General features: G+C 52.2%; 1 protein-coding gene and 1 long non-coding RNA gene across 3 annotated transcripts in view; one reads left to right on the top strand and one right to left on the bottom strand.

Annotated features, from left to right (window-relative positions):
- PADI2 (peptidyl arginine deiminase 2) overlaps positions 1-25,975 on the top strand; it is a 52,691-nt gene that overhangs the window by 419 nt on the left and 26,297 nt on the right. For both annotated transcript variants that reach the window (NM_007365.3, XM_047442975.1), the window contains exons 2-5: positions 13,972-14,155; positions 15,974-16,046; positions 23,063-23,124; positions 25,349-25,466. In NM_007365.3, the coding sequence (NP_031391.2) occupies positions 13,972-14,155; positions 15,974-16,046; positions 23,063-23,124; positions 25,349-25,466 (437 nt within the window). The remainder of the gene's footprint in view (positions 1-13,971; positions 14,156-15,973; positions 16,047-23,062; positions 23,125-25,348; positions 25,467-25,975) is intronic.
- Positions 5,188-7,257, bottom strand: LOC124903861 (uncharacterized). Its single transcript, XR_007065506.1, has 3 exons — positions 7,172-7,257; positions 5,448-5,607; positions 5,188-5,362 (listed from the first exon to the last, which is right to left on the bottom strand). It is a non-coding gene; the product is annotated as an uncharacterized LOC124903861 (long non-coding RNA).

Here is a 25,975-nt window from a genome sequence, read left to right as displayed (position 1 = left end):
ACCCTCCCTTTCACCCGTAACCCTCCGTCTGGCCCTCTCCAGTTCTCCTCCCGGGGGACCTCACACCCCTTCAGCTTCCCTGCCGTCCTCTCCCCTTTCACTTCCCCTCCGCACCTCACTTCCCCTCGGACCCACCTCAACCCAGCCCCTCTCCTGCTTCCCACTCCCAGTTCAGCGGAGCTTCCGCGGAGACTTGCCGGGGACTGGGGCAGGACCCGAAGGGAGCTGCCCTGAGGCTGAATCCGGCCCTGGAGGTTACTCAGGCTCCGATTTCGCCCTGTGGGGGCTGCTGGTGGTTGCTTGTCCCCAGGCACTGGCCCTGAGCTCCGTGTCCCCAGATACCTTCCCCTGACTTCATTCTGAGACCACAGAGGGACAATATTCTACCCAGCTGACGACGGGGACTTGGGGTGTATAGCGGGGTACTTTGTTGGAAAAGGATCCTGATTCAGAGTTCTGCTCCCTCCCCTTCTCTCTGTCCAAGAACTTGGTAGAGTGCGGGATGTCCGAGACAGCTGAAGGTAGGGTAGGGCCCTACCACTCCCCCCGCAATCCCAGAAAGCAGCCAAGTCCAATGATCTGTCTCCCTGAGTAATGGGACGGGGCCTTGGAAAGGTGTGGCTGGTGTGAATGAAAGGGTGGGGTTATGCTGGGGTTTGATCTGCCCCCTCTATTCCAAGCATTTAAAACCTCCCCATTGCTAGGGTTGGAGGGGTCAGTGCTGGGGGCAGGGAGCATGCAGGACTCTGAGGTGGGACCCTGTGCTGACACCGGATGAGTCCCCTATCCTCTCTGCCTCAAGCTGAACTCACACGGAGGCACCATCGTGGTTTATGGCTCTCAAATCATCCTGACACCTGGAGCACCCTGCCTCTCCCAGGCCCCCACCAACCCATCATGTGTCTCCCCACACAGCCCTGGCAGCCCTCCCACCTGCCCAACCAGTCTCCTGCCACCGCTGCAGAGGCACTGGCCACGCTGATACCAACAAGCCCCAGGACTAGGGACCCACTCCATGCCTCTGTCCCTGGCCTCAACCTCTGCCTTCCCCTGGGCCTGGGCTTCAGTTGTCCCCCATGTAAACCTCAGAGGTGGACTGGGTGGTCTCTGAGAACAAGAACACAGCAGTGGAGGGTGGTCCAGGCTCTGGTGGGGTGCAAGAGCTCCCCTGCCTTCCCCACCCCCAGCCCTGAACTGGGCACCGCTAGGGAGTGGGCGCGGAGCCAGAGTGCTCAGGTCTCTAAGCCTCAGCTGTCACCATACCCACCTGTTTATTTGCTGGGGCATGGTTGGTGCCGCCTGAAAAGCTGGCATGATCCTCCCAGTCGGGGGTGGGGAGCAAAGGAGGGTTCCTGCTCAGGCGCCCTGCTATCGCTCTATCCTGGCAAAGAGAGGCCCAGCTGGGGTAGGGGCACAGAGTGGGGCAGATATGGACTCAGCCTCCCTCTAGCAGGGGGCAGCAGTGTGACGATTCCCCTTGTCCTGTCTCAACGACCACAAAGACCCTAACCCCCACCGGCACTTAAGGTTCTCCACCACCACAGAGAGGGGCAGTGCGCTCTAGACCAGTACTGTCCAGAAAAGTCCAGTTTGAACCACAACAAAACCACAATTGCATTTTAAATCTTCTAGTAGTCCACACTTTTTTAAAGTTAAAACAACAGGCATAATTTTAATAATATATTTTGTTTAACCCAATATTTTAGAATATTATCATTTCAACATGCAATCAATATAAAAATTATTAAGGAAATGGTTTACCTTCCTTTTTTCATGCTAAGTCTTTGTAATCCAGTGCACATTTTACACTTCAGCACATCTCAGCGTAGATTGAGTGCATCTCAGGTGCTCACTGGCCACCGTGAGCCAGTGACACCGGGACAGAACAGGTCTAGTGCAGAGTTTCTCAATCTCGCACTATTGCATTTTGGGCTCGATATTTCTTTGTTGTAGCGGGATGTTTAGTGGCATCCCTGACCTCTGTCCCCTAGATGCCAGTAGCAACCCCCAAATTGTGACAACCAAAAATGTTGCCAGACAGTGCCAGCAGTCCCCTGGCAGGGGGCAAAATCACAGCCAGCTGAGACTCACTGGTCCAGTGGAAGGAAGCCTCTTCCAGGACTAAGGAGCTTGAGTTGTTACTGCTATTGTGACTCGAGTTACCTGTAGTAATGAGAGCAACTGCCAGTATTGATAACAGGAGGAGGTATTAGTGGGCACTTAGGAACTGAACCCACCACCTCCTTTCTTCCTCACCATAGACCCTGGAGGGTTCATTGATCATCCCATTTTACAGATGAGGAAGGTAAGGCTCAGAGAGATGAAGCCATTTGTCCAGAGTCACACAGGACTCAGGTCCAGGTCTGTTTGACTCAGAACTCATGCTCTTATACCCCACTCTGTCCTATGTGACCCTAAAACCAGCGGGTTGAACTGGACGGCCCTCTCAGCCTGTGTCTCTTCCACCCTGGCCACGAGCCCACTGTCCCCAGAGACTTCACCAACTCCCATTTGGCCCTCCACTCTTCCCTGAGTCCTTTGCTGCCCGGACACAGGTCCTGGCTCAAGACCCCAAGTGATGCCCCCAGAGCCTCCAAGTAGACCCCAAGGAACAAGGCCCGGGGGTGCTGGGCCCAGTTAATTACGGAGTGGCATCCTGACCCTCACTCCTTCTGAGTCGCAAAGGTGAGCGAAACGGCCTCAGCACCCACTCCCTTTCCCAAGGGCTCTGGACTCCCTTTCCTGTGATGCTGGCACACAGGATCCCCTCCAGACACATAGCAGGGGCCTCCCCAGCCTCATTCCTCAATAGACCTTGTGGTCCTGGCAGGCACTGCCCTACCAGCTTCCATCCACGGGCTGTGTGACCTTGAGCAAATCGCTTCACTTCTCTGAGTCTCCACTGACCCAAATGGGGGTCGATCAGAGAACAGGAGGAAGGATCTTGTATTCAATAGAAGATGTACACTCAGGGTCACAGTGATGAACAATTGACCACTATGCTGCCCTATGAGGGGTCATCCAGGCCACCATGGGCAGGGGTGCTCTGGGCCACCCACGCTCTCCCAGCAAAACTGGCCCCCCTGGGGATGGATGCCTTGACCTAGCCTCATTCTGACTGCTAGTCTCCAGCAAGCAATGAATAGATACATAGAAAGAAGGAAGTAGGGTGTTTGTTAGAAATTGTACTTTGTGATTGTTGTTAAAGATACTCGCTGTTTCCTTCTGCTCTTCCCAAATATACTCATCTTAGTCTTGGCACAGGTACACCTGGCCCACACAATCTCCTCCGGTGGTCCCTTTAGCCGACAGTCACTTCTTCAGTGGGGCTGGCCTGGGTCCCCATCTGATTTGGGCTTGAAGTTGGAAAGAGAGCACAGAGGGAGTCCCTAGGTTGGTTCCATCCTGGCCACCCACCTCTTGTGAGCCCTGGAGGCATGGACACTCCCAGAGTCTGGAAGGATTATTAGGGACAGGGCAGCCTCGGAGTAAAGTAGGTAGCAGGGTGGTCACTCTCTGCCCACAAGCTGGGCCTTGGGAATGGCTTCTTCTGTTCCTCCCTCGGCTTATGCCTCTGTCAGTGAGAGTTCTCGAGAAGGCAGGGCTCTTCTTTTCCTCCCTGGTGTACAGGAGCCAGGATCCAGATCCTGAGGTCTGCAGGAGCTTCAGGACACTGGAATGATCTTAACATTGTCCCTTTGCCTGTGCAGAGGTTCCAGCTGCGTCTGTGAGGTGGAGGTGGGAGGATTCCCTTCCCTGGGATTCCCCAAGGCAGAGGCTGACCAGCCATTGTCCCAGTAGAAGACAGAAAGAAGATAAATGTCAGCTAGTAATATCAAGTAAATAGTAATAATTTGCCCATAACTCGCTGGCAGAAGATAGGAAGAAGGTATCAGGCAGGCGCTCCTAGACTTTGGCACAAACTCACTCCCAGACTTTCTGTCTCTTGGTTGGTGTGAAGGCTAGAGATGTATTTGCTTTTTTAAAAAGTGTCATTAGGACAAAGGCCAGGAGGGTCTGAGATCCAGTTTTCCATGATGGGGGCCTGGGGTGCTATGGGCTCCCCTCCCCATAGTGTGCCAGGCCCTACCTCACTGATCTCCTCTTCTAGCAATTCCTCAGCACACACTCCATTCCGGCCACGCTGGCTTTGTGGATGCTGTTAGCCCTTGGCTGTGCCAAGCTCATTCCCACCTCAGGGCCTTTGCAGTTGCTGTTCCCTCTGCCTGGAACACCATCCCCCAGATCCCCACAAGCCTGACTTTCATCAGTCAAGTCTCAGCTCCAATGTCACCTCCTCCAGGAAGCTTTCTTTGACTACCCCATGTCGTGGTGCCCTACCCTGAGTCCCGAGAACTCTGTTTCATCACATTTTTTTCTTTGCACAACTTCTCATCGTTTCTTAATGTTACTAGTTGACATTTATTGAACACTTATTTTGTGCAGGCTTCTCAACACTTTGCATGCTCATCTCACGGACATGTAATAATTTACGTATTTAAACCTTGCAACAACTTTATGAGTTAGGTACAATTATTGTCCCCTTTTCGCAGCTGGGGAAACTGAAGGAAGGAGTGTTTGTCCAGGATGGCACAGCCAGTAAACTGTGGGGTGCAGAGCCCAGGCCCCTGCCTGCTCTGCCAGGCTGCCCTCCTGGTACTTATGTTTCAGGCGTGCCTCCTCCTTGTTTGTGATCCTCCCTGGAGTCAATGAAGGGCTCCCTGAATGAATGAATGAATGAACGAATGAATGAATGAATGTGGCCTGTGATGCCTGTGGACTGGCCTGTCATGGGGCTGAGCTCCCCACCCCCAGCCTCAAGGGACAGGCACCGTTGGATGGGCCTGTGGAAGGTCAAGGGCATGTGGCCAAGCTTGGCCCGAGCAGCGCTTGCTCCTGAGAGAATGACGGTGGGAGGAATTCAGGCCAGGTCAGGTGGCCCATAAATTAGAACAGCACCCAGAGCCCTCAACCCCAAACGGGATGCCTTGCCAGGAATTGCTCCAGGGCTCTGGTTTCAGGCTAGTTTCCTGGGGTTGGGAGTGTTCTAAGGAGAACCAGGCTCACAGTCCCTGCATAGTTGGGGTCCCTGAGACCTTCCCTCATTGACTGCAGGGCCCTGAGTTGGGATGGGAGCACAGTGGCAGGGGCTCACCCCAGTGCCCACCCCTAGCTGGCCAGACATACCTGCTGCACTTTGGAGGAGGCAGCTTTTGAAGGCAGCTCTTTCCTGCCCAGCCACGCCAGACCTTGCACCCAGAGGCTTTGATGGGCCCAGGCTTGCTTCTCTCTGTCATTGACCCAAGAGCCCAGGACAGGAAGCCAGTCTTTAGTGTCCCTTCTCTGTGTCTCAGACTCCCACCTGTGAAATAAGTAAGGGGCTCTCATTTGGTCCTCTTCAGAGCCAGGCCTGATCCTCCCCTCTGCCCCACACCAGGCACACCTACCTGGGGGATCTCAGGAAAGACTCCAGACTTTGAATTCTCTCCCAGGGAGGGGACAGCCAGGCCCAGGTCTCAGAGAGCCTGAGTTCCCCTCACACTCGGCCATGACTGTCCCTGAGATTTGAAGCGGGTGCTTGCCCTCTAGGGGCCTCAATGTGCTCATCTGTAAAATGAAATCACAGTGGTATGGGCCTCATGGGGTTATCGAAAGAATGGGCTGAGGTCATGTGGGCCATGGGCTTGGTACAGTGCCTGAGACATAATGAATACTCAGTTCCCTGGTGGTCTAGTGGTTAGAAAAATAATAATAATAATAATAATAATAATAATAATAATAGTAAATACTCAGTAAGTTGTTATGTATTAGTATTGAGTTTATTTTGAAAACAAGTAATAATGAGACCTGATCCCTCTCCTCAAAGACTTCATAGCACTTATGGGAAAGAAATCTAGAACTGAATTTATTAAGTGTTGTTTGAGACACCAATAAATGGAGGGAGAGATATATTCTGGCTGATGAGATCAGGGATGACTTCCTGGAAGAGGTGGCAACTGAGCTGGGTCTTGAAGGATGGACTGGGGTTCAGAGTGAGACCAAGAACATGCCACTCAGGGGCAGAGATAACTGGCAGGGAAGTTGGGGCACACAGAGACAGAAAGGGCACAGCTTCAGAGGCCTGGAGTATAAGGCTGGAGGGTCAATGAGCTCTAACCAGGCTTTGAATACATCGTTCAGACATTGGACTTTGTTCTGTAAGTAGCAGGGAGTCACTGAAGGTTTCTGAGGAGAGGAGTAGCTATAGATCAGATTGTTTCTTCCCTAAGGAGAGGCCCGGGACAGCTGGATGCACCAGGTGGTGAGGGAAGCTGGCTGAAGGCAGACGTCATTGTTTGCCTCCACTGATCCCTGTTCAGGGCAGCTGCCCACCCACAGGGCCCCAGCCACCACCATGCCGAGCACCAGGTGTGAGGTCTGGACTGAGGTCATTCTCCCCGCTGGTCCTTGCCTGCCTCTTGCTCGCCATGGGGTTGCATGACAGGCTGGCACCCACGACTCCCCCCCCCAGACTCCTCTAAAGCCCCAAGAGCAGGATGTCACACCCAGGCTGCCAGGAGCTGGGGTCACTCTGGGGATGAGCCCCAGCTGGTGTTAATGAGGCCCAGGCCAGGCGGGCAAGCTAAGAAAGCCAGATGCCAGCAAGGAGCAGGCGCTTCATGCCCTCAAGTCTGGGGCTGGTGAGCCACCCCAGCCCTGCAAGGCCAAGCCAGTGACCCTCCCCACTGACCGAGCCAAGACCAGAGAGGACCATGGCTCCTAGAGACCACAAAGCATTTGTGGGACTGGGCAAGTGTCGTTTGTTTGACACCAACCTAGTGGCCATTTCTCTCCATTTCCACAGCCACTATCTGGTCCCAAGACACCATAATCGCTCACGTGGGCAGCTGCAGCCACCTCCTCCCCACTTCCTCTGTTGCTTTCCTGAAATCCATCCCCCACCCTGCATTCTGGGCAACCCTGCACCCTGGATGATCTATCTACAGTGCAAAACTGATCATGCCACCCCTGCTTAGAAACCTTCAGTGACTTCCCTCTACAATCAGAGGAAGGCCAGCTCCTCACCATTATCTAAAATCCCTGCTCCCACCACTCTCCCTCCCCCTTGCTCACAAACTCCAGACACACTCCCCTCTTTCCAGCTTCTCGAACATGCAGGACTAACCCCCACCTCAGGCCATCACGCAAGCTGTCCTGTTGCTTGGAAATCTCTGCTCCTCTTCCTCTCCTTCCTTGTCCAACTCAGTGGTTGTCAAACTGTGGGGGACCAGCAGCATCAACATTACCTGGGAGCTTGTTAGAAATGCAGTTTCTCAGGTCCCACCCCACAGTCGATAGATCAGAAACTCAGGGGCTGGGCCCATTTACCTGTATTTTAGTAGGCCCTGTAGGTAGTGGTAATGCACACTCAAATTTAAGAATCTCTGGTTTAATTTTTTTTTTTTACAGTCAGCACTGCAATGGTGTAATTAATTCCTGCCTGTCCTTTAGATTATAAAGTTTAAACCTTAGTTCAAATGCCACTTCCTCAGGGAATCCCTCCTTGAACCCCAGACTGGGGCCTCATGGCACCCTCTCCTCCTTTATAGTAATTATCACAGCTGTAATCATGTAATCCATTGAAAGTCTGTCTTTTCTGTCCAGGCACAGTAGCTCACACCTGTAATCCCAGCACTTTGGGAGGCTGAGGCGGGCAGATCACTTGAAGTCAGGAGTCCCAAACCAGCCTGGACAACATGGTGAAACCCCGTCTCTACTAAAAAATACAAAAATTAAAAATAGCCAGGCGTGGTGGTGGGCTCCTATAATCCCGGCTACTCAGGAGGCTGAGGCAGGAGAATCGCTTGAACCCAGGAGGTAGAGATTGCAGTGAGCCAAGATCATGCCACTGCACTCCAGCCTGGGCAACAGAGGAAGACTCCGTCCCAAAAAAAAAAAAAAAAAAAAAAAGGTCTGTCTTTTCCATGGGCCCAGGGAATGTGTTTGCTTTTTCACTAATCTACCCCTCAATGCCTAGAACTGTGCCTGGCACATTGTAAGTGCTCAGTAAATACATGTTGAGTGAATGAACGACCATATAAGTAAGCCCGCCTCCTCCAGCCCTCCTGCAGCAAACATTTATACTTACGGTGTGCCCATACTAGGCCAGGTGCTGAAACAAACAAACAAACAAACAAGAAGATCCAATCCCTACCTTCAAGGAGTGAACTGCCAAAAGGGCCAGTAACTGTGGGGGCAAATGGATGGAGTTAGGTCTTCAAGGAGAGATGGACATTTGCCAGGCAGAGAAGTCAGGGGAAAGTCTTGCTGGTAAAAGGAACAACATATGTCAAAATGCACAGTAGATGGAACAATGCAGGGAGCTGAAGTGGTGGAAGGAACCGCAGAAAATGAAACCAGAGAGTCAAGCTGAGTTGCAATGGCCAAATGTGCCTAGTTCAACACCAGGATGAAGAGTTTGGATATTCTTGTATGGGTAGGCACTGAGGAGCCAGTGAATATTTTCAAGAAAGCCCATGACCTGATTTCTGGGTTTTTTTTGTTTGTTCGTTTGTTTTTTAAATCACTTGTGTAATACAGCTTGGAAAGCCAAGAAGGGCAGGTGCATTCATTCATGTATTGCCAAAGACTACACTGAGCATATCCATGTCCTGGGTTCTGGGATTCCATGGTAGGCAGGAGACATGGCCACAGTGATTGGCAGCCTGTCCCTCCATCCATGCTCTCCTTAGCCTCTCTCTAATAAGCAAGAAGGTCATAACCACCCCCAAGCCCCCTCCCTTTCCCTCAATACTGTCCTGGGCCCCTCCCTGCAGCCTCCAGGGACAATCCAGGTGCCTGAAGCCCCTGGCTCTCGGGTTTCTGCGAGAGAGATTCTAAAGGGTTCTTCCTGAGGAGGAAGGCAGCCAACAGGATCTGCAGGGGCACAATGGGCCCCTTTATTGCTTTGCCCAGGGCCACTCCAAGAATAGCTGTTTGCTCAGCTCAGAACAGGGCTGGTGCTGGGGAATAGGAGGGTGTGGGGCCCTGGAGCTGCGATGTGGGCTGGGCGTTAACCCTCTGGAGCCTCTGAGGCCTCCTTTGGTTTCTCTCTGGTCCAGAGGAATGAAGGTGGGCAGGAAGCATCACTTACAGTAACTGAGTCAGGGTCCTAAAAGATCATCTTGTAAAACATTTTTTCCTAAATAGAATTGTGTGCAGAAGCTCAATATATAAAACCAGATGAAATAATAGTGGCTCTGGGTCAGGCATGGTGGCTCACTCCTGTAATCCCAGCACTTTGGGAGGCCAAGGCGAACGGATCACTTGAGGTCAGAAATTCAAGACCAGCCAGGCCAACACAGTGCAACCCCATCTCTACTAAAAATACAAAATTTAGCCAGGCATGGTGGTGCATGCCTGTAGTCCCAACTACTTGGGAGGCTGAGGCAGGAGAATCACTTGAACCTAGGATGCGGAGGTTGCAGTGAGCAGAGATAGCACCACTGCACTCCAGCCTGGATGACAGAGCACGACTCTCAGTTTAAGAAAATAAATAAATAAACAATAGTAGTAGTAGTGGCTCTGGTTAAGGTGGGGAGGGGAGTGGCAGGAATCCAGTGGAGATATCCCAAGCTTTTTTTTTTTTTTTTTTTTTTTTTTTAATAGACAGAGTCTCGCTCTGTCACCCAGGCTGGAGTTCAGTGGCACAATCTCAACTCACTGCAACCTCCACCTCCCAGGTTCAAGTGATTCTCCTGCCTCAGCCTCCCGAGTAGCTGGGACTACAGGCACACGCCACTACGCTCGGCTAATTTTTGTATTTTTTTTAGTAGAGATAGGGTTTTGCCATGTTGGCCAGGCTGGTCTTGAACTTCTGACCTCAAGTGATCCACCCACCTCAGCCTCCCAAAGTGCTGGGGTTACAGGTGTGAGCCACCGCACCCAGCCATCCCCAGCTTTCCAGAGCCTTCCTCCTCACCCCTTTGCCCAGGGCCTCTCCTCTGCACTCTCTGGACTCAGCCACCTCTGCTCTGGTTCCATCCTCTCACCTAACACTGGATGAAACTGAGAGAGGGAAAGTCCCTGGCCCAAGGCCACCCAGCATGTTGATGGGCAAAGCTGAGACTTGCAGGAGAGGAATGCTTCCCAGACCTGAGGCCATAGTTTCCCAGACTCTCATGGCTTTGGCCAAAACCATCTTCAACCTGTCTCACTATAACACTTTTCTTTAACCCAGCTCACATTTTTCTTAATAACTTTATTTTAAACAGAGATTTTATAGCATTACCATAAATGGCAAGACTTTATCAGTCACCATAAAAAGATACTGTGTTTGATAAACACATAAGTCTTCTTGTAGATTGTTCCTCCCTGTGCCACCTAAAGCATCCAGGGTGTGTACTCACACCTCTCCTTGGGAACGGCTTACCTTCCGTCCGACTCACCTCTGCCCTCTTTGCTTGGGTGTATGATGGGCCAAGCCCTGTGCTAGGCTCTGAAGAATGAAGATGGGAGAGGCCGGACCATGCCCTCAGGGGACTTATAACCCAAAGGAGGGCAGGTACCACGTGGCAACACCACTCAGCAAAACGTGGCCCCAGCCCTAGGGGGAGTGAGAGACGAGAGCTATGGGCAGGAGGGTGGCAGTCCTCCTGAGGCGTAGGGACTAACAGATGGACATTCAGAAGGTGCAGACCCCCTCAAGTCAGGGGCAAAACTAGACTCAAACCCAGGTCCTCTGCACGTGCACCCTTAGTCCAGGGCTTTTGTCCAGACTCTGTGCCCCTCTTAATGATGGATGTGGCCAGGCACGGTGGCTCACGCCTGTAATCCCAACACTTTGGGAGGCCGAGGCGGGTGGATCACCTGAGGTCAGGAGTTCAAGACCAGCCTGGCCAACATGGTGAAACCCCAACTCTACTAAAAATACAAAAATTAGCCGGGCATGGTGGCGGGCACCTGTAATCCCAGCTACTCCAGAGGCTGAGGCAGGAGAATCGCTTGAACCAAGGAGACAGAGTTTGCAATAAGCTGAGATCACGCCACTACACTCTAGCCTGAGTGACAGAGAGAGACTCCTCCTCAAAAAAAAAAAAAAAAAGTGATGGATGCGGAGAGGGGACAGCAAGCCATGACCAAGAAGTGTCCAGTCTCACATCATCCCAGGACAGGCTGTGGAGTTTGGAAGGGGGCAGGACAAGAACCAGAGTGACCTTGGGGTGTCTTCATTGAGCTCCTCTCCCAGCACTGGCCACAGGCTGCCGAGTCCTTCCCAATTCTCCTGCCAGAGCCCAAGACCAGTAGTCTTTGCCCATAGCCCCTGAAGTCTGTGGCCCAGGTCAGACAGACACTGCCCGGCAGCCTCTACAGATTCACGCTCACGGCCTTGGCCAGCCCAGGGCTCTCAGCAGTGGACCGCAGTGCTGATTGTCTGGACCAGTGGTTCTCAAAGTGTGGTACTGGGACCGGCAGCATCAACAGTTCCTGGAAGCATGTTAGAAATGCAGATTCTTGGGCCCCATGCCAGACCTCCTGAATTGGATGCTCTGAGATGGGGCCCCGCAGTCTGTTTTGACAAGACCTCCAGGTGCCGCCGCCCCAGACACTGCTGCTGCACTTTGACAGCCGCTGGCCTACACTTGTCATTCAACCCTGGCCACTGTTTCCATCTTCAGCTGCCCCAGCACCCTCAGCCTCTGCCATGCCAGCCAGCCTCTCCAGAGACTGGATCTACAAATCTACAGCCTTCAAAGAAAAACACCCTATAGATTTAAACAGCACCCCTGATGATTCTGATGCCTGCCATAGTTGAGAACTCCTGGAACCCAAGAGCACCAGGCCCCCAAAATAGCAGCTGTGCCTTTGAGACAGGCTTACACCTATGTCTTAGTCACAAATCCCACGAGAATCCCACCTAAGTCCCTCTGAGCCCTCTTGGGCCTCCAGACCAGTGGCTGGATTTAGCAAAGCCGCCAGCCCTAGGCACCTTCCTCCCTTAGTCCCCTGTCCTTCCTGTCACCTCTCCTTAAGCCAACAACAAAACACCATGGACAGGGTGGCTTAAAAACAAATTCATCTTCTCACAATTCTGGAGGCTGGAAGTCCGAGATCAGGGTGGTGGCATGGTCGGGGTTCTGGTGACGGCTTTCTTCCTGGCCTGCAAATGGCCACCTTGTCACTGCGTCCTCACAAGATCTTTCCTCAGTCCATGGAGAGAGATCTCTATCTACCTATCCCTCCCTCTCTTGCTGCTCCTCCTCCTCCTCCTCCTCTCTCATCTTTCTTCTCCTATTTGATTAGAAGCCTGCCCTTGGCCAGGGTGGCTCACGCCTGTAATCCCAGCACTTTGGGAGGCTGAGGTGGGTGGATCACCTGAGGTCAGGAGTTTGAGCCCAGCCTGGCCAACATGGCGAAACCCCATCTCTACTAAAAATACAAAAATTAGCTGGGTGTGGTGGTGTGCACCTGTAATCCCAGCTACTCAGAAGGCTGAGGTAGGAGAACAGCTTGAACCCGGGAGGCAGAGGTTGCAATGAGCTGAGATTGCACCACTGCACTCCAGCCTGGGAGACAGTGAGACTCCATCTCAAAAAAAAAAAAAAGAAGAAGAAAAAGAAGCCTGCCCCTATGACCTCACCTAACCTTAATTACCTCCTAAAAGCTCTATCTCCAAATACCATGACACTGAGGGTGAAGGCTTCAGCATGCTAATTTGGGGAGAGACAAACATTCAGTACACAGCAGCCAGATCACATCCATTTGTTCTCCTGCTCTGAAATACTTTCGGAGTTCTTGAATTTCGGAATTCAAGAATTCCAAAAGTATTTGCTTTGCAATGGAAAACCACTTTTGAACCCCAAGAAATGACTCAGAAGGTGGGGGATGTCAGGTGGCAAGAAAGCTGTGGCAGGAAGGAAGGGATCTTTGTAACAAGAGACACCCCACCTCTGCCCTGTTAGGACCCAGGCACTGGGCTCCATCCCTGTGAGGACTCAGCACTTTACTCAGCGACCCTGGGCAGGGAGACAGGGTTCCAGGCCCAGCTCTGCTAGTGGAGCAAATTCATTCCTGCCTGGGTCTCCATCTTCCACCTTCACAGGACCCTGTGGCTCCCAAAACTGGCCTCCCATCAGAGGCACTAGGAAGGTTGTTAAGAATTCAGATCCCCAGGCCCGACCCTCATACATTCACACTCAGGAGGTGCAAGATTGGCCCAAGAGATTTCATGTTCAACAGATGTCCTCTTCACAGCCAGGTGACTGCAATGCAGCTGGCCCCTTTGGGGTCTCCCAGATCAGATTACCTGTGGGGGCCCTTGCAGACTTGCCCCTCCAGAAGTCTTCTTTTTTGAAAAAAGAGCCGGGCGTGGTGGCTCACACCTGTAATCCCAGCACTTTGGGAGGCCAAGGCAGGCGGATCACCTGAGGTCGGGAGTTCAAAACCAACCTGACCAACATGGAGAAACCCCATCTCTACTAAAAACACAAAATTAGCCAGCTGTGGTGGTGCATGCCTGTATCCCAGCTATTCAGAAGGCTGAGGCAGGAGAATCGCTTGAACCTGGGAGGCAGAGGTTGCAGTGAGCCGAGATTGTGCCATTGCACTCCAGCCTGGGCAACAAGAGTGAAACTCTGCCTCACACACACACACACAAAAAAGAAGAGACAGGGTCTTGCTCTGTTGCTCAGGCTGGAGTGCAGTGGCACAATCATAGCTCACTGCAGCCTCAACCTCCCAGGCTTAAGCAATTCTCCCACCTCAGTCTCCTAAGTAGTTGGGACCACAGGTGTGCACCAGCATGCCCAGCTAATTTTTTAATGTATATAAAGACAAGGTCTCACTGTTGTCCAGGCTGGTCTCAAACGCCTGGGCTCAAGTGATTCTCGGGCTTTGACCTCCCAAAGTGCTGGAAGCAGGAGTCTCCTCTTGAAGCCCCTCATCCCACCTACCCCAGGGCTCTCCCTAACCCTCTCTCATCTCTCCCCACAGCGCGGCCCCAGCCGGGGCCCAAACCTTCAGCCTGAAGCACTCGGAACACGTGTGGGTGGAGGTGGTGCGTGATGGGGAGGCTGAGGAGGTGGCCACCAATGGCAAGCAGCGCTGGCTTCTCTCGCCCAGCACCACCCTGCGGGTCACCATGAGCCAGGCGAGCACCGAGGCCAGCAGTGACAAGGTACCACGGCGGGAAGTCCAGCCTCTGCGGGCCCGGGACCATGCCAGGATAGAGGCAGGGTGGACCAGCCCTGTCCCATAGAAACTGCACGTGGGCCATGTGTCATTTTCAGTTCTGCAGTAACCACATTGAAAAGGCAAAAAGAGGCCGGGCGCAGTAGCTCAAGCCTGTAATCCCAGCACTTTGGGAGGCCGAGGCGGGTGGATCACAAGGTCAGGAGATCGAGACCATCCTGGCTAACACGGTGAAACCCTGTCTCTACTAAAAATACAAAAGATTAGCCAGGCATGGGGCGGGTGCCTGTAGACCCAGCTACTTGGGAGGCTGAGGCAGGAGAATGGCGTGAACCCGGGAGGCGGAGCTTGCAGTGAGCCGAGATCGCACCACTGCACTCCAGCCTGGGCGACAGAGCGAGACTCCGTCTCAAAAAAAAAAAAAAAAAAAAAGAAAAGGCAAAAAGAAACAGGTGAAATTAATTGTCTTAATATCTATTACTTAACCCTATCTATCAAAATATTATCATTTTGACATGCTATCAATATAAAAAATATTAACAAAATTGTTTGTTTTTTGTTTGTTTGTTTGTTTGAGACGGAGTCTCCCTCTGTCACCCAGGCTGGAGTGCAGTGATGCGATCTCGGCTCACTGCAAGCTCCACCTCCCAGGTTCACACCATTCTCCTGCCTCAGCCTCCAGAGTAGCTGGGACTACAGACGCCTGCCCTATGCCTAGCTAATTTTTTTTTTTTTTTGTATTTTTAGTAGAGATGGGGTTTCACCGTGTTAGCCAGGATGCTGTCGATCTCCTGACCTTGTGATCCGCCCACCTTGGCCTCCCAAAGTGCTGGGATTACAGGCGTGAGCCACCGCGGCCGGCCTGTTTGTTTGTTTTTAAGAGACAGGATCTCACTCTGACTCCCAGGCTGGAGTGCAGTGGTGCGATCATAGCTCACTGCAACCTCAAGCTACTGGGTTCAAGCAGTCCTCCTGCCCCAGCCTCCCGAGTAGCTGGGACTCCAGGCACCTGCCATCGTGCCCAGCTAATTTTTTTTTTTTTTTTTTTTAGAGACAGGTCTTACTATATTGCCCAGGCTGGTAGTTTATATTCTTTTTCCATACCAAATTTAAAATTAGTGTGAGTTTTACACCTTATAACACACCTCCGTTCAGAATAGCCGCATTTCCAGTGCTCGGTAGCCATGTGGATGTTGTGGGGTTAGACCATGGAACGATGGCTTCGTAAAGGATGAAAATTATAGACAGCTGAGTGATAGAAAGTTTAGAGGCTCAGAACCATAGAATCATTGGAGCTTACAGTCACAAGTGTCCTTGGTCTATCTGTAAAATGGGGTGCTGAACATCCATGGGTGATTTGCCTAAGTGGTGAGGCTGAGACCAGAACTGTCTCCTTTCTGGGTTCCGTAATTATGAACTTTACCATGTGCCCCATCACAGTGATGGCATTGAACATGGTCCAAAGAAAATAGCCTCAGCCCTGTCCCCTCAGTGGGCACTAGACGTGCAACATGGCAGATATGGGGGACCCCAGGCAGCAGAATGCACACAGTGGCACAGGAAGGCAGACAGCATCCTAACTGCCCTCTCAGCCAGCAGGAGGGGAGTCCACAGTCTAGTTCAGTTACCTGAGGGAAACCGCCCACCAACCCAGGAGTTCTTCCTGGAGGAGAGGGTTCTGATGTTTGGAGAGGGTTGGCTTGACAAGCTGTGAGGGACAGCAGTTGCTTCAGGTTTTCCTGCTTGTGATCTGTGATCTCTGCTCTCTTTTCTCTCTACTCCAATGTGCCCCCTCCCCACCAAGGTCACCGTCAACTACTATGACGAGGAAGGGAGCATTCCCATCGACCAGGCGGGGCTCTTCCTCACAGCCATTGGTGAGTTGGCATGGTTGCCGTCTCAGTGCCTTCATCACCCAGGGCCTGGCACTGTTGTCCTTCTCTGGGGCACTTAGGCGGTTCTCAGTGCGGCTGACCTGGCACTTGGAGCTTCTTCTGAATGGCACAGGCCTGGGGAGGGATGTCACATGTGCCCCACCCCGGTCCTTCCATACTGGGGTGGGGGCTTATCTGCAGGAAGAGGCACTCCCTGATCCATCAGCAACCCCCCCCCAAGTGTCAAGGTCCCCTTCCCAGGCTCTGTGGCCCTAAAAGAGAAAAAGGTGAAGTGTGTTTCCCCCTGCCTCTCCCCTGCAGCCTGGAGAAGAGTGTCCCTCTCATGGTGAGGGGAATGGCCACAGTCTATAAAACTAGCAGCTGTTCTTGACAATCCCAGCTGCCCCCTGGTTCTCCCCAGATTCAGCCCCGAGGGTGCAGAGATGCAGCCTCCAGGTCCTTAACTCACCTAGTCCAAGTCCTTCATTTGATCCACAGGATGGTGAGGCCCAGAGAGGTTAGGGAATTTATTCAACATCACACAGCAACTGGGTGGCAAGTTGAGTCCAGAACCCAGAATTATCCCTGTCTCAGGTTCTCTCCATTGCATCACACTGCCCTGCGCTGGGTGCCAGGCCTGCATGCCAGGGAGGTGGAGCCTAGCCTGGCTCTACAGGACCCTTGGCTGTGATCATCTGAATTTTCCATCACTCCACCCCCTGAAACTGAGGCATTACTTTTATGCTATTTTATTTCATTTTTTAATCATAGAATGTTAAAGCCAAGAGGACATTTCAGAGGGTCATTTTGTTCATCCAACCTTGGTTTAACATTGACAGAGTTGCCGCATGGCAGAGGAAGGGAACTACCAGTTATTGAGAGTCAACTGCATGCTGAGTGCTTTCAAAATAATGATGCGGCCTGCTTATTGCAGGCCTACTGTGTGTCTAGAGCTGCACTGGGCACTTTGATGAGGAGGAGGAGGGGGAGAATGGTAAACACCTGATATTAATTGAGCACCTATGGTGTGCCAGGCTCCAGTACTCAATGTTTTACCGTCACGATTTCAATCTCTTCTTCCAACTATTCCAAGGATAGATATTATTATTATCATCCTCATTTTATAGATGAGAAAATCAAGGCTCAGAAAAGGTAAAACAAATACTTGCCTGCAGCTACATCTCCAGAAAATGGTTGGTGAGATGCCAATCATTCCAGTTATCCCACATTCTCAGGGGGGGTCTCAGAATCTCCCCAAGATACAACTAACTCCCGAGCCAGCCCCTTCCTCTCTAGCCCTGTGCTCTCAGCTGCTTAAACAGGCTTAGCAGCAGGGCCCTTCTCATTCTTGGCTAATTCCCAAATGGGCTTGGTTGCTGGTCCCCCTGTCCCTCTTTCTGTCCCAAGGAGGTGCCCAGCCCTGGGGTAGGGAACCTCGGGATGACCTTGGTGAGGGTGGCAGATGATCAACAAAGACTCCTGGGTTGTACTGAGCCCTGGCACGTGTGTGAACCTTGCATGCACACAGCATCCAGGCAGTCTCAGATGACAGTCCCTGAGGAAACCTAATCCCACCAAGATAGGGACACCTGAGGACGGGGGCAGGAAGGGCAGGGGCCTGACACCTGTCAAATGAGGATGATCCCAGAAGGCTGACTGCACCATTAACAAGACTTCCACCAAAGCAAGACAGACTTAGGATAGATGGCAAAATAAGCGTCTATAAGGAGGCAGGACTGGACTTTTCCTCCTCACTAGGAGATGACAAAGCTGTGCTTAGAGGAAGCCCGCTCAGAGTTGGCGGCATGGCTGAGTCCCAAAAGATGCCACATGTGCCCACGACAAGTGACCAAGTTCATCCTTCCGAGGTCTGTTAATAATTATTTATTTAACTGCCACAAGTTCCAGATATTTAGATTCCATGGGCCAATCAAATGTCCCCTGCCCCCACCCCCCAAAAAATGAGAACACTAACAACTTTGATGCTTGGCAAAAAAAAGAAAAAAAAATACATCAATAAAACAATTTGTGGCCAGGCGCGGTGTCTCACGCCTGTAATCCCAACACTTTGGGAGGCCAAGGTGGGCAGATCATGAGGTCAGGAGTTTGAGACCAGCCTGGCCAATGTGGCGAAACCACATCTCTACTAAAAATACAAAAATTAACTGGGCGTGGTGGCACGCACCTGTAGTCCCAGCTACTCAGGAGGCTGAGGCAGGAGAATTGCTTGAACCCAAGAGGTGGAGGTTGCAGTGAGCCAAGATGGTGCCACTGCCCTCCAGCCTGGGCGACAGAGCGAGACTTTGTCTCAAAAAAAAAAAAAAAAAAATTTGCTATCAACTATCACTATCATTTTAACTCTTAAAAAATAGGCAAGGCATAATCTCAGAATAAAAGACAGTCATGGCCGGGCACAGTGGCTCACGCCTGTAATCCCAGCACTTTGGGAGGCCGAGGTGGGCGGATCACCTGAGGTCAGGAGTTCAAGACCAGCCTGGCCAACATGGTGAAACCCTGTCTCTACTAAAAATATAAAAACTAGCCGGGCATGGTGGTGGACGCCTGTAATCCCAGCTACTCAGGAGGCTGAGGCAGGAGAATTGCTTGAAACCAGGAGACAGAGGTTGCAGTGAGCTGACACAGTGCCACTGCACTCCAGCCTCGGCGACAGAATGAGACTCTGTCTCAAAAATAACACAAAACAAAACAAAAAACAGAATAAGAGACAGTCATTCAATTGCAAAAAGAAACTAACACCATTGAACTTCTGTTTCCTGTTCCAACAGAGACCCTGGTGAAAATCTGGTTTCCCTTGGGGACCACTGTTCTCTCTGTCCCTTCTAGGTTTTCTCTTTTCTCGAGCATCTGCCCCAGGAGCCCTTGAGCCCGTCATCCTGAGTAATCAATCACTCAGGGGCAGCGCCTCAGAGGCAAGCCCCCCCCCAACCCCAATATCTTGAGAGGCTGGGACTGTCCCCTGGGCACAAAAATGTATCTGAATCTCTCTCACCCTGGTCCTATCCTGAGTCCACATTGAGCAGAAAGAGCCTTGGCTTCTGGGTAGACAGAAGTAAGCCTAAGATCTTTCTCTGTCCCCTCCAGCCAGCTTGTGACAAGTCACATCATCCCCCTGAGCCTTGGCTTCCTCATCTATAAAATGCGCTTCACAGAGCAGCCTTGCATGGTGTTTACAAGGATTCAGTGGGATGTTGTGTGCGAAGGGCCCGGCACAGAGTGGGTGCTTAGTCAATGCTCCGCCTGCTTTTCTCTCTTGCTCTTGAGGTGGCCGCATTTTCTCTCTGCCTGGGTGAAGTTAAAGAAATGTATGGTCTCTCCTTCTTCCTTCTGGGATTTGGGAGCAAATTCATGATTCCTTTGGCCAGATCAGGCTCTGGGTCTTTGTCCCAATCCCGCCAAGGACTTGCTGTGTGACCTTAACAAGTAACCACCCCCACTAGGACTCACTTTTTACAAACTATAAAATAAGGGGTTTGAGCTAATTAATCCCTAAGGACCTTCAAGACCCTGGTTAGGGTTGATTTGCAAAGACTTCCATTTTTTGGGAGGGATGGGGGAGAGCAAGAGGTGAGGTGTGGGGAGGGAGGAAGAATCCCACCCTATTTGAGGTCCTGGCAGTGGAAGGAGTACACATATGCGGGCCCCAGAAAATTTTAACATCAACCTAAGGGGCTTGATCCTATGCCTTCTCCCCAGAGGCTGGGATACTTGCCCTGATTGGCTGTGGGGGAGGGTGTCCTTCCTTCCCATAACATCTCAAGCTGCTTAGTAAGGCAAGAAGGCCAGGCACCCTGCCACTCTCTGGCGACCCTCCAAAATGCTTGTGCCTCTCGGTCAGAGCTGAGGCTTCAGTGTCTTCATTCTCAGGGCAGACTGCCTTGAACCCAATCCTAGGGACATTTCCCGTCAATCTGCCCCACACCCAGGAGCCACCTGACGCCTTGGGGCTATTCTGGGGAACTGAGGTGGGATCCAGAGCCTCTGGGAAATGTCGTCTGGAGCCTGGAGGCCCTGAAGCAGAGCTCCTCTCCCTCCTCCCCCTCGGGAAGGCAGAGCCATCCCAAGAGGCAATGCTCTGGGCAGGTCACACCAGCCCTGTTCTCTGCCCCTACCCGCAGCATCCCACTGGAATCTAGTTAAATCAGACATTGGGGGAAGCCTTGCAGGGGCGAAGTCCCATGGGCATGACTACAGGGTGGGCGGTCTCTGAGGGTGAAGGGGCCAGAAGGTCATTTCAGTGGATTATGGGGACAGGTCATGGGTCATCAGAGAGGAGTTATGAAGCCCTGTGAGAGGCTGGGAGGACGATAAGGGAGCCACACTGTGAAATGCCCACATTTCGTAACAGGAAGGTAACGAAACCTGTCTGAATTCAGTAAATCAGGAAATCGCAATAAGCATGAGAGAGGTTGCCTTAGGCAGCTGAGAAGAAGGGCTGGACAAGGAACTGCTGTCTTTCTTTAGAAACAGTGTGTTACTATTTTATTTGATTTTGTTTGTACTATGTCCAAATATTACATGAATAAAATGTTTCCATTTAAGAATTCATAATGAAATGAAGCAGTATAGACTGCACCATAATTTCTCTCCTAGCCCACGGCCCCACTGCTTTAATGGACTCGCCACAAGGAGTCCCAATGTAATGTCACCTTACGGCCTAGAGACGAAGGCCGCAGGGCTACCAAGGTGGGGAAATGGGCACTTCCTCTGGGAATGACCTTCAAGGGAGCAAGTCTTGTGTCTTTGACTTTGGGCTGGGCTTTTGGAAACAGCTTGCAGGGAGGTCAGCCTGGGTTCATTGCAGGGAACAGCAGAGAGCAGGCAGCCGGAGTCCGAGGCCCTGCTGAGAGCCTGGCTCTGCGTTCTGGGAACTTCGGTGGTCACTTCCCTGCTGCGGGCCTGGGTTTCCTCATCTGTATCGTTAGGGGGTGGGGGTGGTCACGCCTCCCCTGGAGTGGCCGAGAGAACACACCTTGGAAAACGCTGTGCAGCTGCAGAGCAGGATGCCCGCAGGGGAGAAATTTTTACCTTGAAAAGGACAGAGTGGCTCCCTAAAGAGGCTGGACCTGCGGCTCCTTCCGAGGGAGGAGTTTCAGGAAGCCAGCTCCCTGAAAGGCAGCATTCAGTGGACGTGACCGGCTGGAAAGTTCACAAAGGTCCAGGAACCAAAACCAGTATTATTCCTGCCCCTGCACCCCAGGCTCTTAGCCCCTGGTGGTACCGCCTTCCCTTCTTTCCCCTGGGGTCCTTATCCTGCACCAGCCTCCCAGATTACCAGCCCGATTTGCTGACAAGTGGCTTCTCTGAACCTGGGTTTGCTGCCCTGTGAAACGAGAGCAATGCTATTCATCTCATGGGACTGTGGACGCCTTGAGAGCAGGTGCTGTGCCTCCATTGCCCGTTGCCTGGTACAGCTCCCGGAGCAGTAGCTCCTCAGCAGTGAAATGTGGAGTGAATGCGATCGGAGGGAGGAGGTTACAAATTATGCCTTACAGCACCTAACTCACCGCACAGCTGCAGAGGCTGGGACACACAAGACTGCCTCTCTCAAGGGCCAGGCGCCCTTGCAGCCTCCTTCTAGACTGGAAAAGTCACATGCAGGTCTAGGGTATGCAGGCTATAGGCAAAGGGAGGACCTGAATGTGATCTCTGGACTCTGGGCTTGGTTGGCCCAGAGAAGGGTGACATCAGTGCACTTCGTGTGCCAGGACCCTCCTTTCCATGCCCTCCAGGCAGAGGGTGTGCCTGCCACGGGGACTAACCAGGAATGCATTCATTACCACCCAGCGCCCACCAGGTCCAAGTCATGCTCAGCGTGAGATGAGCCCACTCGGGCAGCTCTGGGGACCTGGAACGGGCACATGTCATGTGTGTGACACTCCCAACACCTTCCCAACCACATCCCTACTCGACCTCATCCGTCTCCAACTCAAGGCAATTTCGCCTCCCAAGGGACATTTGACAATATCTGGAGACATTTTTGGCTGTCACGACTGGGAGGGATGTTACTGGCATCTGGTAGGTAGAAGCCAGGAGTGCTGTTAAACATCCTACAATGCACAGGCTGCCCCCACACAAAGAGTTATTTGGCTCAAAAATGTCAGTAGTGCCTTCCATTGCAGCTAATGCATCTGCTGTAACCAGGAAGGGCCCCATGTTACAAGTGAGGAAACTGGGGCTCAGAGAGGTCCTCTAACCTGCCCAAAGTCACACAGCTTATAAGCAGAGAACCAGGGTCTAAACCCCACCTTGTCTGATACTAAACCTTTTCACTTCCCTACAGTCTCCACAAAGCCTGTCTCCATGGCAGGCCTAGGGATGCTGAGGGTCCCTTCACCAAGAGAAGGGATAAGTGGGGGCCTGGCCCTGGATCCTCCATCTAGACTCACAGGTGACCTCAGACCAAGAGGGGTTAGAGACAGCTTCCCACCCACAGTAAAACCCTCAGTCCTTGAAGGTGGGATCTAGCCCACTGGAAGTTCTGGGAGAGAAAGAGACACGCACACCCAGGTGCACATGTGCACACCTATGCGCATGCCCGGGTAGACTGAGAAAGGCAGTTTGGGAATGCTATCCCTGTTAAGTTTTCAGAATATGAACTATGAATCAGACCAACCGCACTGTGTACCCCAGTTCTGCTAGCGTCCCTATGTGATCTTGGGCATGCGACTTCACCTCTGAACTGAGGCATCCAGATCTGTGCAGCGAGGATCATTCCCCAACCCCCAGCCAGAACAATGAAGTGGTAGGAGGTCCCAGACCTCCCCGATGGCAGCTCTTGCAGCCGTAAGCTACGAGGTCCACACGGTGTCTGCTGACGGTCTCCAGTGGGTAGTGGGATGTTGAGGCAGGGGGTTGCATAAGATGACTTCAGCGAGGTCCTCTCTTTCCCGTGACCAAATGAATGGCTGAGACGCACCCAAATCCCACAGGTCTTCCTCTTGCCCCTGCCCTGCCCTGCCTGGCAGGCTCAGCAACTCACCCATGTCTCTTCTCCCCAGAGATCTCCCTGGATGTGGACGCAGACCGGGATGGTGTGGTGGAGAAGAACAACCCAAAGAAGGTACCTAGCTTTCAGGGCAGGCACCACCCTGAACCCAGGGCTTCCGAGGGCACAGCCCCAGATCCCGCAGGCAATTCCCATTTCACAGCTCAGGAGACTAAAGCCCAAGACAGGCTCCCAGACACACAGCATACCAATGATGGAACCCACAGAGGAGCTCAGGCATCTCCTAGAGACGGCAACAGAGCAGGCTCCTGAGTCTCAGTTTCTCCATCCCATGATGGGGACGCCCAATTCATGGAACTGCTGGGAAGGATAAATGTGCCCGCTACAGAGGAAGCACTGTGAAGGCATTTGCTCTTATTATTTTGCCTGTTCTTTTAAGACTAGGGAGGTGGGGGAGACAGACCCTCAGGACAGAGGGTCGCATTCATCATTCTCAGTTCCAGGCGTGGTATTATCTCTGCTGGTGCATGCACGGCCCCTCTCCTCTTTCTATTTATTCTTGCATTCATTCACCATTCATTCATTTGTTCCCTCGTTCATTTACTTATTTTCTTTTATCTTGCATTCCCCACTCCCATTCTGCTCCCCCACAGAGGACCATTTTGCTGGGTTTAATGTGTCTCTTTCTGCTCTGGTGACTCTCAGGAGGCATGTGGTGTGGTTGGTGTGCATGTATTTTTAATTTGTGCAGACGGCATGGTGTTCTCCATCACATTCTGTTTTGTACTTTTCCCTCAACCTAGTTTTTAGGCTCCATCAGTCTTGCTCTGTGTACATTCAGGCTGTTGCTTCTAACTGCTTTCCATTTTCTGCCCTTCTGTATTATCTCAATTTTTGCCATGGGCATATGTGACTTTTATAATAACACTCTGAAGCCTAGAGTAAAGTATACATAGAGGGGTACTTACGAAGTAAAATAAACACAGCCTGATGAGAAGCCTGGGTCCTAGCAGCCTGCTACCCTGACTCTCTGCAGGTCAGGAGAGGGTTCTCAGCCATGTGGGGAAGTCCCTTCTTCTAGGATCGTGAGCAAGGCTTGCCTGAGACCAGGGCCAGCCCTGCACACTCATTCTCTGAGTCTATGGCCAAGCCATATGAGAATGAACTCCACAGAGGCCTCTGAAACCCAGCAGCCCCAGGGCGACAGCTTCCAACCTCCCCCAAGGGGCTGGGCAGTCTTGGGAAAGTCACACGATCCCCATGAGCCTGAACTTGGCCAGAATTTTTAAATCTGGGCCGGTGAAGTTTTCACATTTTCTTCACTCATCCCATAAATATTTGCTGAGCATCTTTTATGTTCCAGGAGCGGGTCAGGCCCAGGGGACACAGAAAGAACAAGAGAAACACAGCCCTGGCCTTAAGGAGCCCATGGTCCACATTAAATATGGAGTGTTTCGGATAGCTGTGTCATCACAGTTGTCCTAAGTCCTCCCAAAAAGGATGTGTACAGGGCCAGGTGTGGACCCGGGGAAGCTGCTCTGTCCTAGAGAATCAGAAAGGCCTCCAGGAAGAAGAGACAGTCATGCTGTAACCGAGGAAGGGTAGAGTGGGCCAGGTGGAAAGGGGCAGGACAGGAGCAGAGGGACTGGCATAGGCAAAGGCCTGGGAGCTTGAGTCTTTTGGGAGCAGAAAGGCGCCGGGATGGGTGGGGCAGAGTGAGCGAGGGGCAAGGCGGAGGAGATGAGACAGAGAGGAAGGCAAGTTTCACCAGGCCTTCCAAGCCACAGCAAGGAATCAGGGCTTCATGCCAACTCAACTGGGAGCCCCTGACCTGGCTTAAAGCAGGGAAGCAACACAATCTGGCCCGAGTTTGTTCTAGTAGTGCTATGGCTGCAGTGTAGAAAGTGGAGCACCATGCAGGTCCCATTCGGAGCACTAGGAGCGTGTCTGGAAACAGCTGGGTGGCATCCATCCAGGCGTCTCCTCCTGAGCTCCCCTAGGGACCTAGGGACCCATGGTAGAATGTCTGTCTGCTCATTTCTCTGGCCAGCCTCCACCTCCCTGCCTCCACCCACACCAGACACCAGCTGCACCAGACAGGAGGCCCATAAATGCCTCAGTCAGCCTTCCTGTCTCTGTGCCTCTATTGAACTTGCCTTTGATGCCCACATTCATCCTCTGTGGACATCAGTCTTGAGATTCACATTTGCCAGGTCACAGCTGCCCCAGTGGGTGGCGGCTACTCTTTACCCTCATCCTGGGGCTATCTCTCCAGTGTCCCATGGGGTCTATACAAGCATAGAGAAGAGGGCACTGACCTTTCTTCCTGCCACTGTAGGCATCCTGGACCTGGGGCCCCGAGGGCCAGGGGGCCATCCTGCTGGTGAACTGTGACCGAGAGACACCCTGGTTGCCCAAGGAGGACTGCCGTGATGAGAAGGTCTACAGCAAGGAAGGTGCCAGCAGGCCCTGCACTTGGGGGGCAGGATGAGAGGAGTGAAAAGATTCATGCCCAGTCCTGGGCTGGGCTGAGGGTGAGGCAGGTGTGGACTCAGGCCTCCTGGGGATGGTGGACACAAATTCCCACTCTTGCTTAAAGCCAAAGGCAAAACCATAGGAAATAGACAAGGGCCGGGCGTGGTGGCTCACACCTGTAATCCTAGCATTTTGGGAGGCCAAGGCAGGCAGATCATGAGGTGAGGAGTTCAAGACCAGCCTAACCAATATGGTGAAACCCCATCTCTACTAAAAATACAAAAATTGGCTGAGCGTGGTGGCATGCACCTGTAATCCCAACTACTCAGGAGGCTGAGGCAGGAGAATCACTTGAACCCAGGAGGCAGAGATTGCAGTGAGCCAAGATCATGCCACTGCACTCCAGCCTGGGCAACAGAGCAAGACTCTGTCTCAAGAAAAAAAAAGAAGAAGAAGAAGAAGAAGAATAAAAAGAAAATAGACCAGAAGG

This window comes from Homo sapiens, chromosome 1, assembly GCF_000001405.40.
Source record: "Homo sapiens chromosome 1, GRCh38.p14 Primary Assembly".
Lineage (NCBI taxonomy): Eukaryota > Metazoa > Chordata > Mammalia > Primates > Hominidae > Homo > Homo sapiens.
The sequence above is the reverse complement of the archived record's forward strand: the minus strand, read 5'-3'. Positions and strand labels throughout refer to the sequence as shown.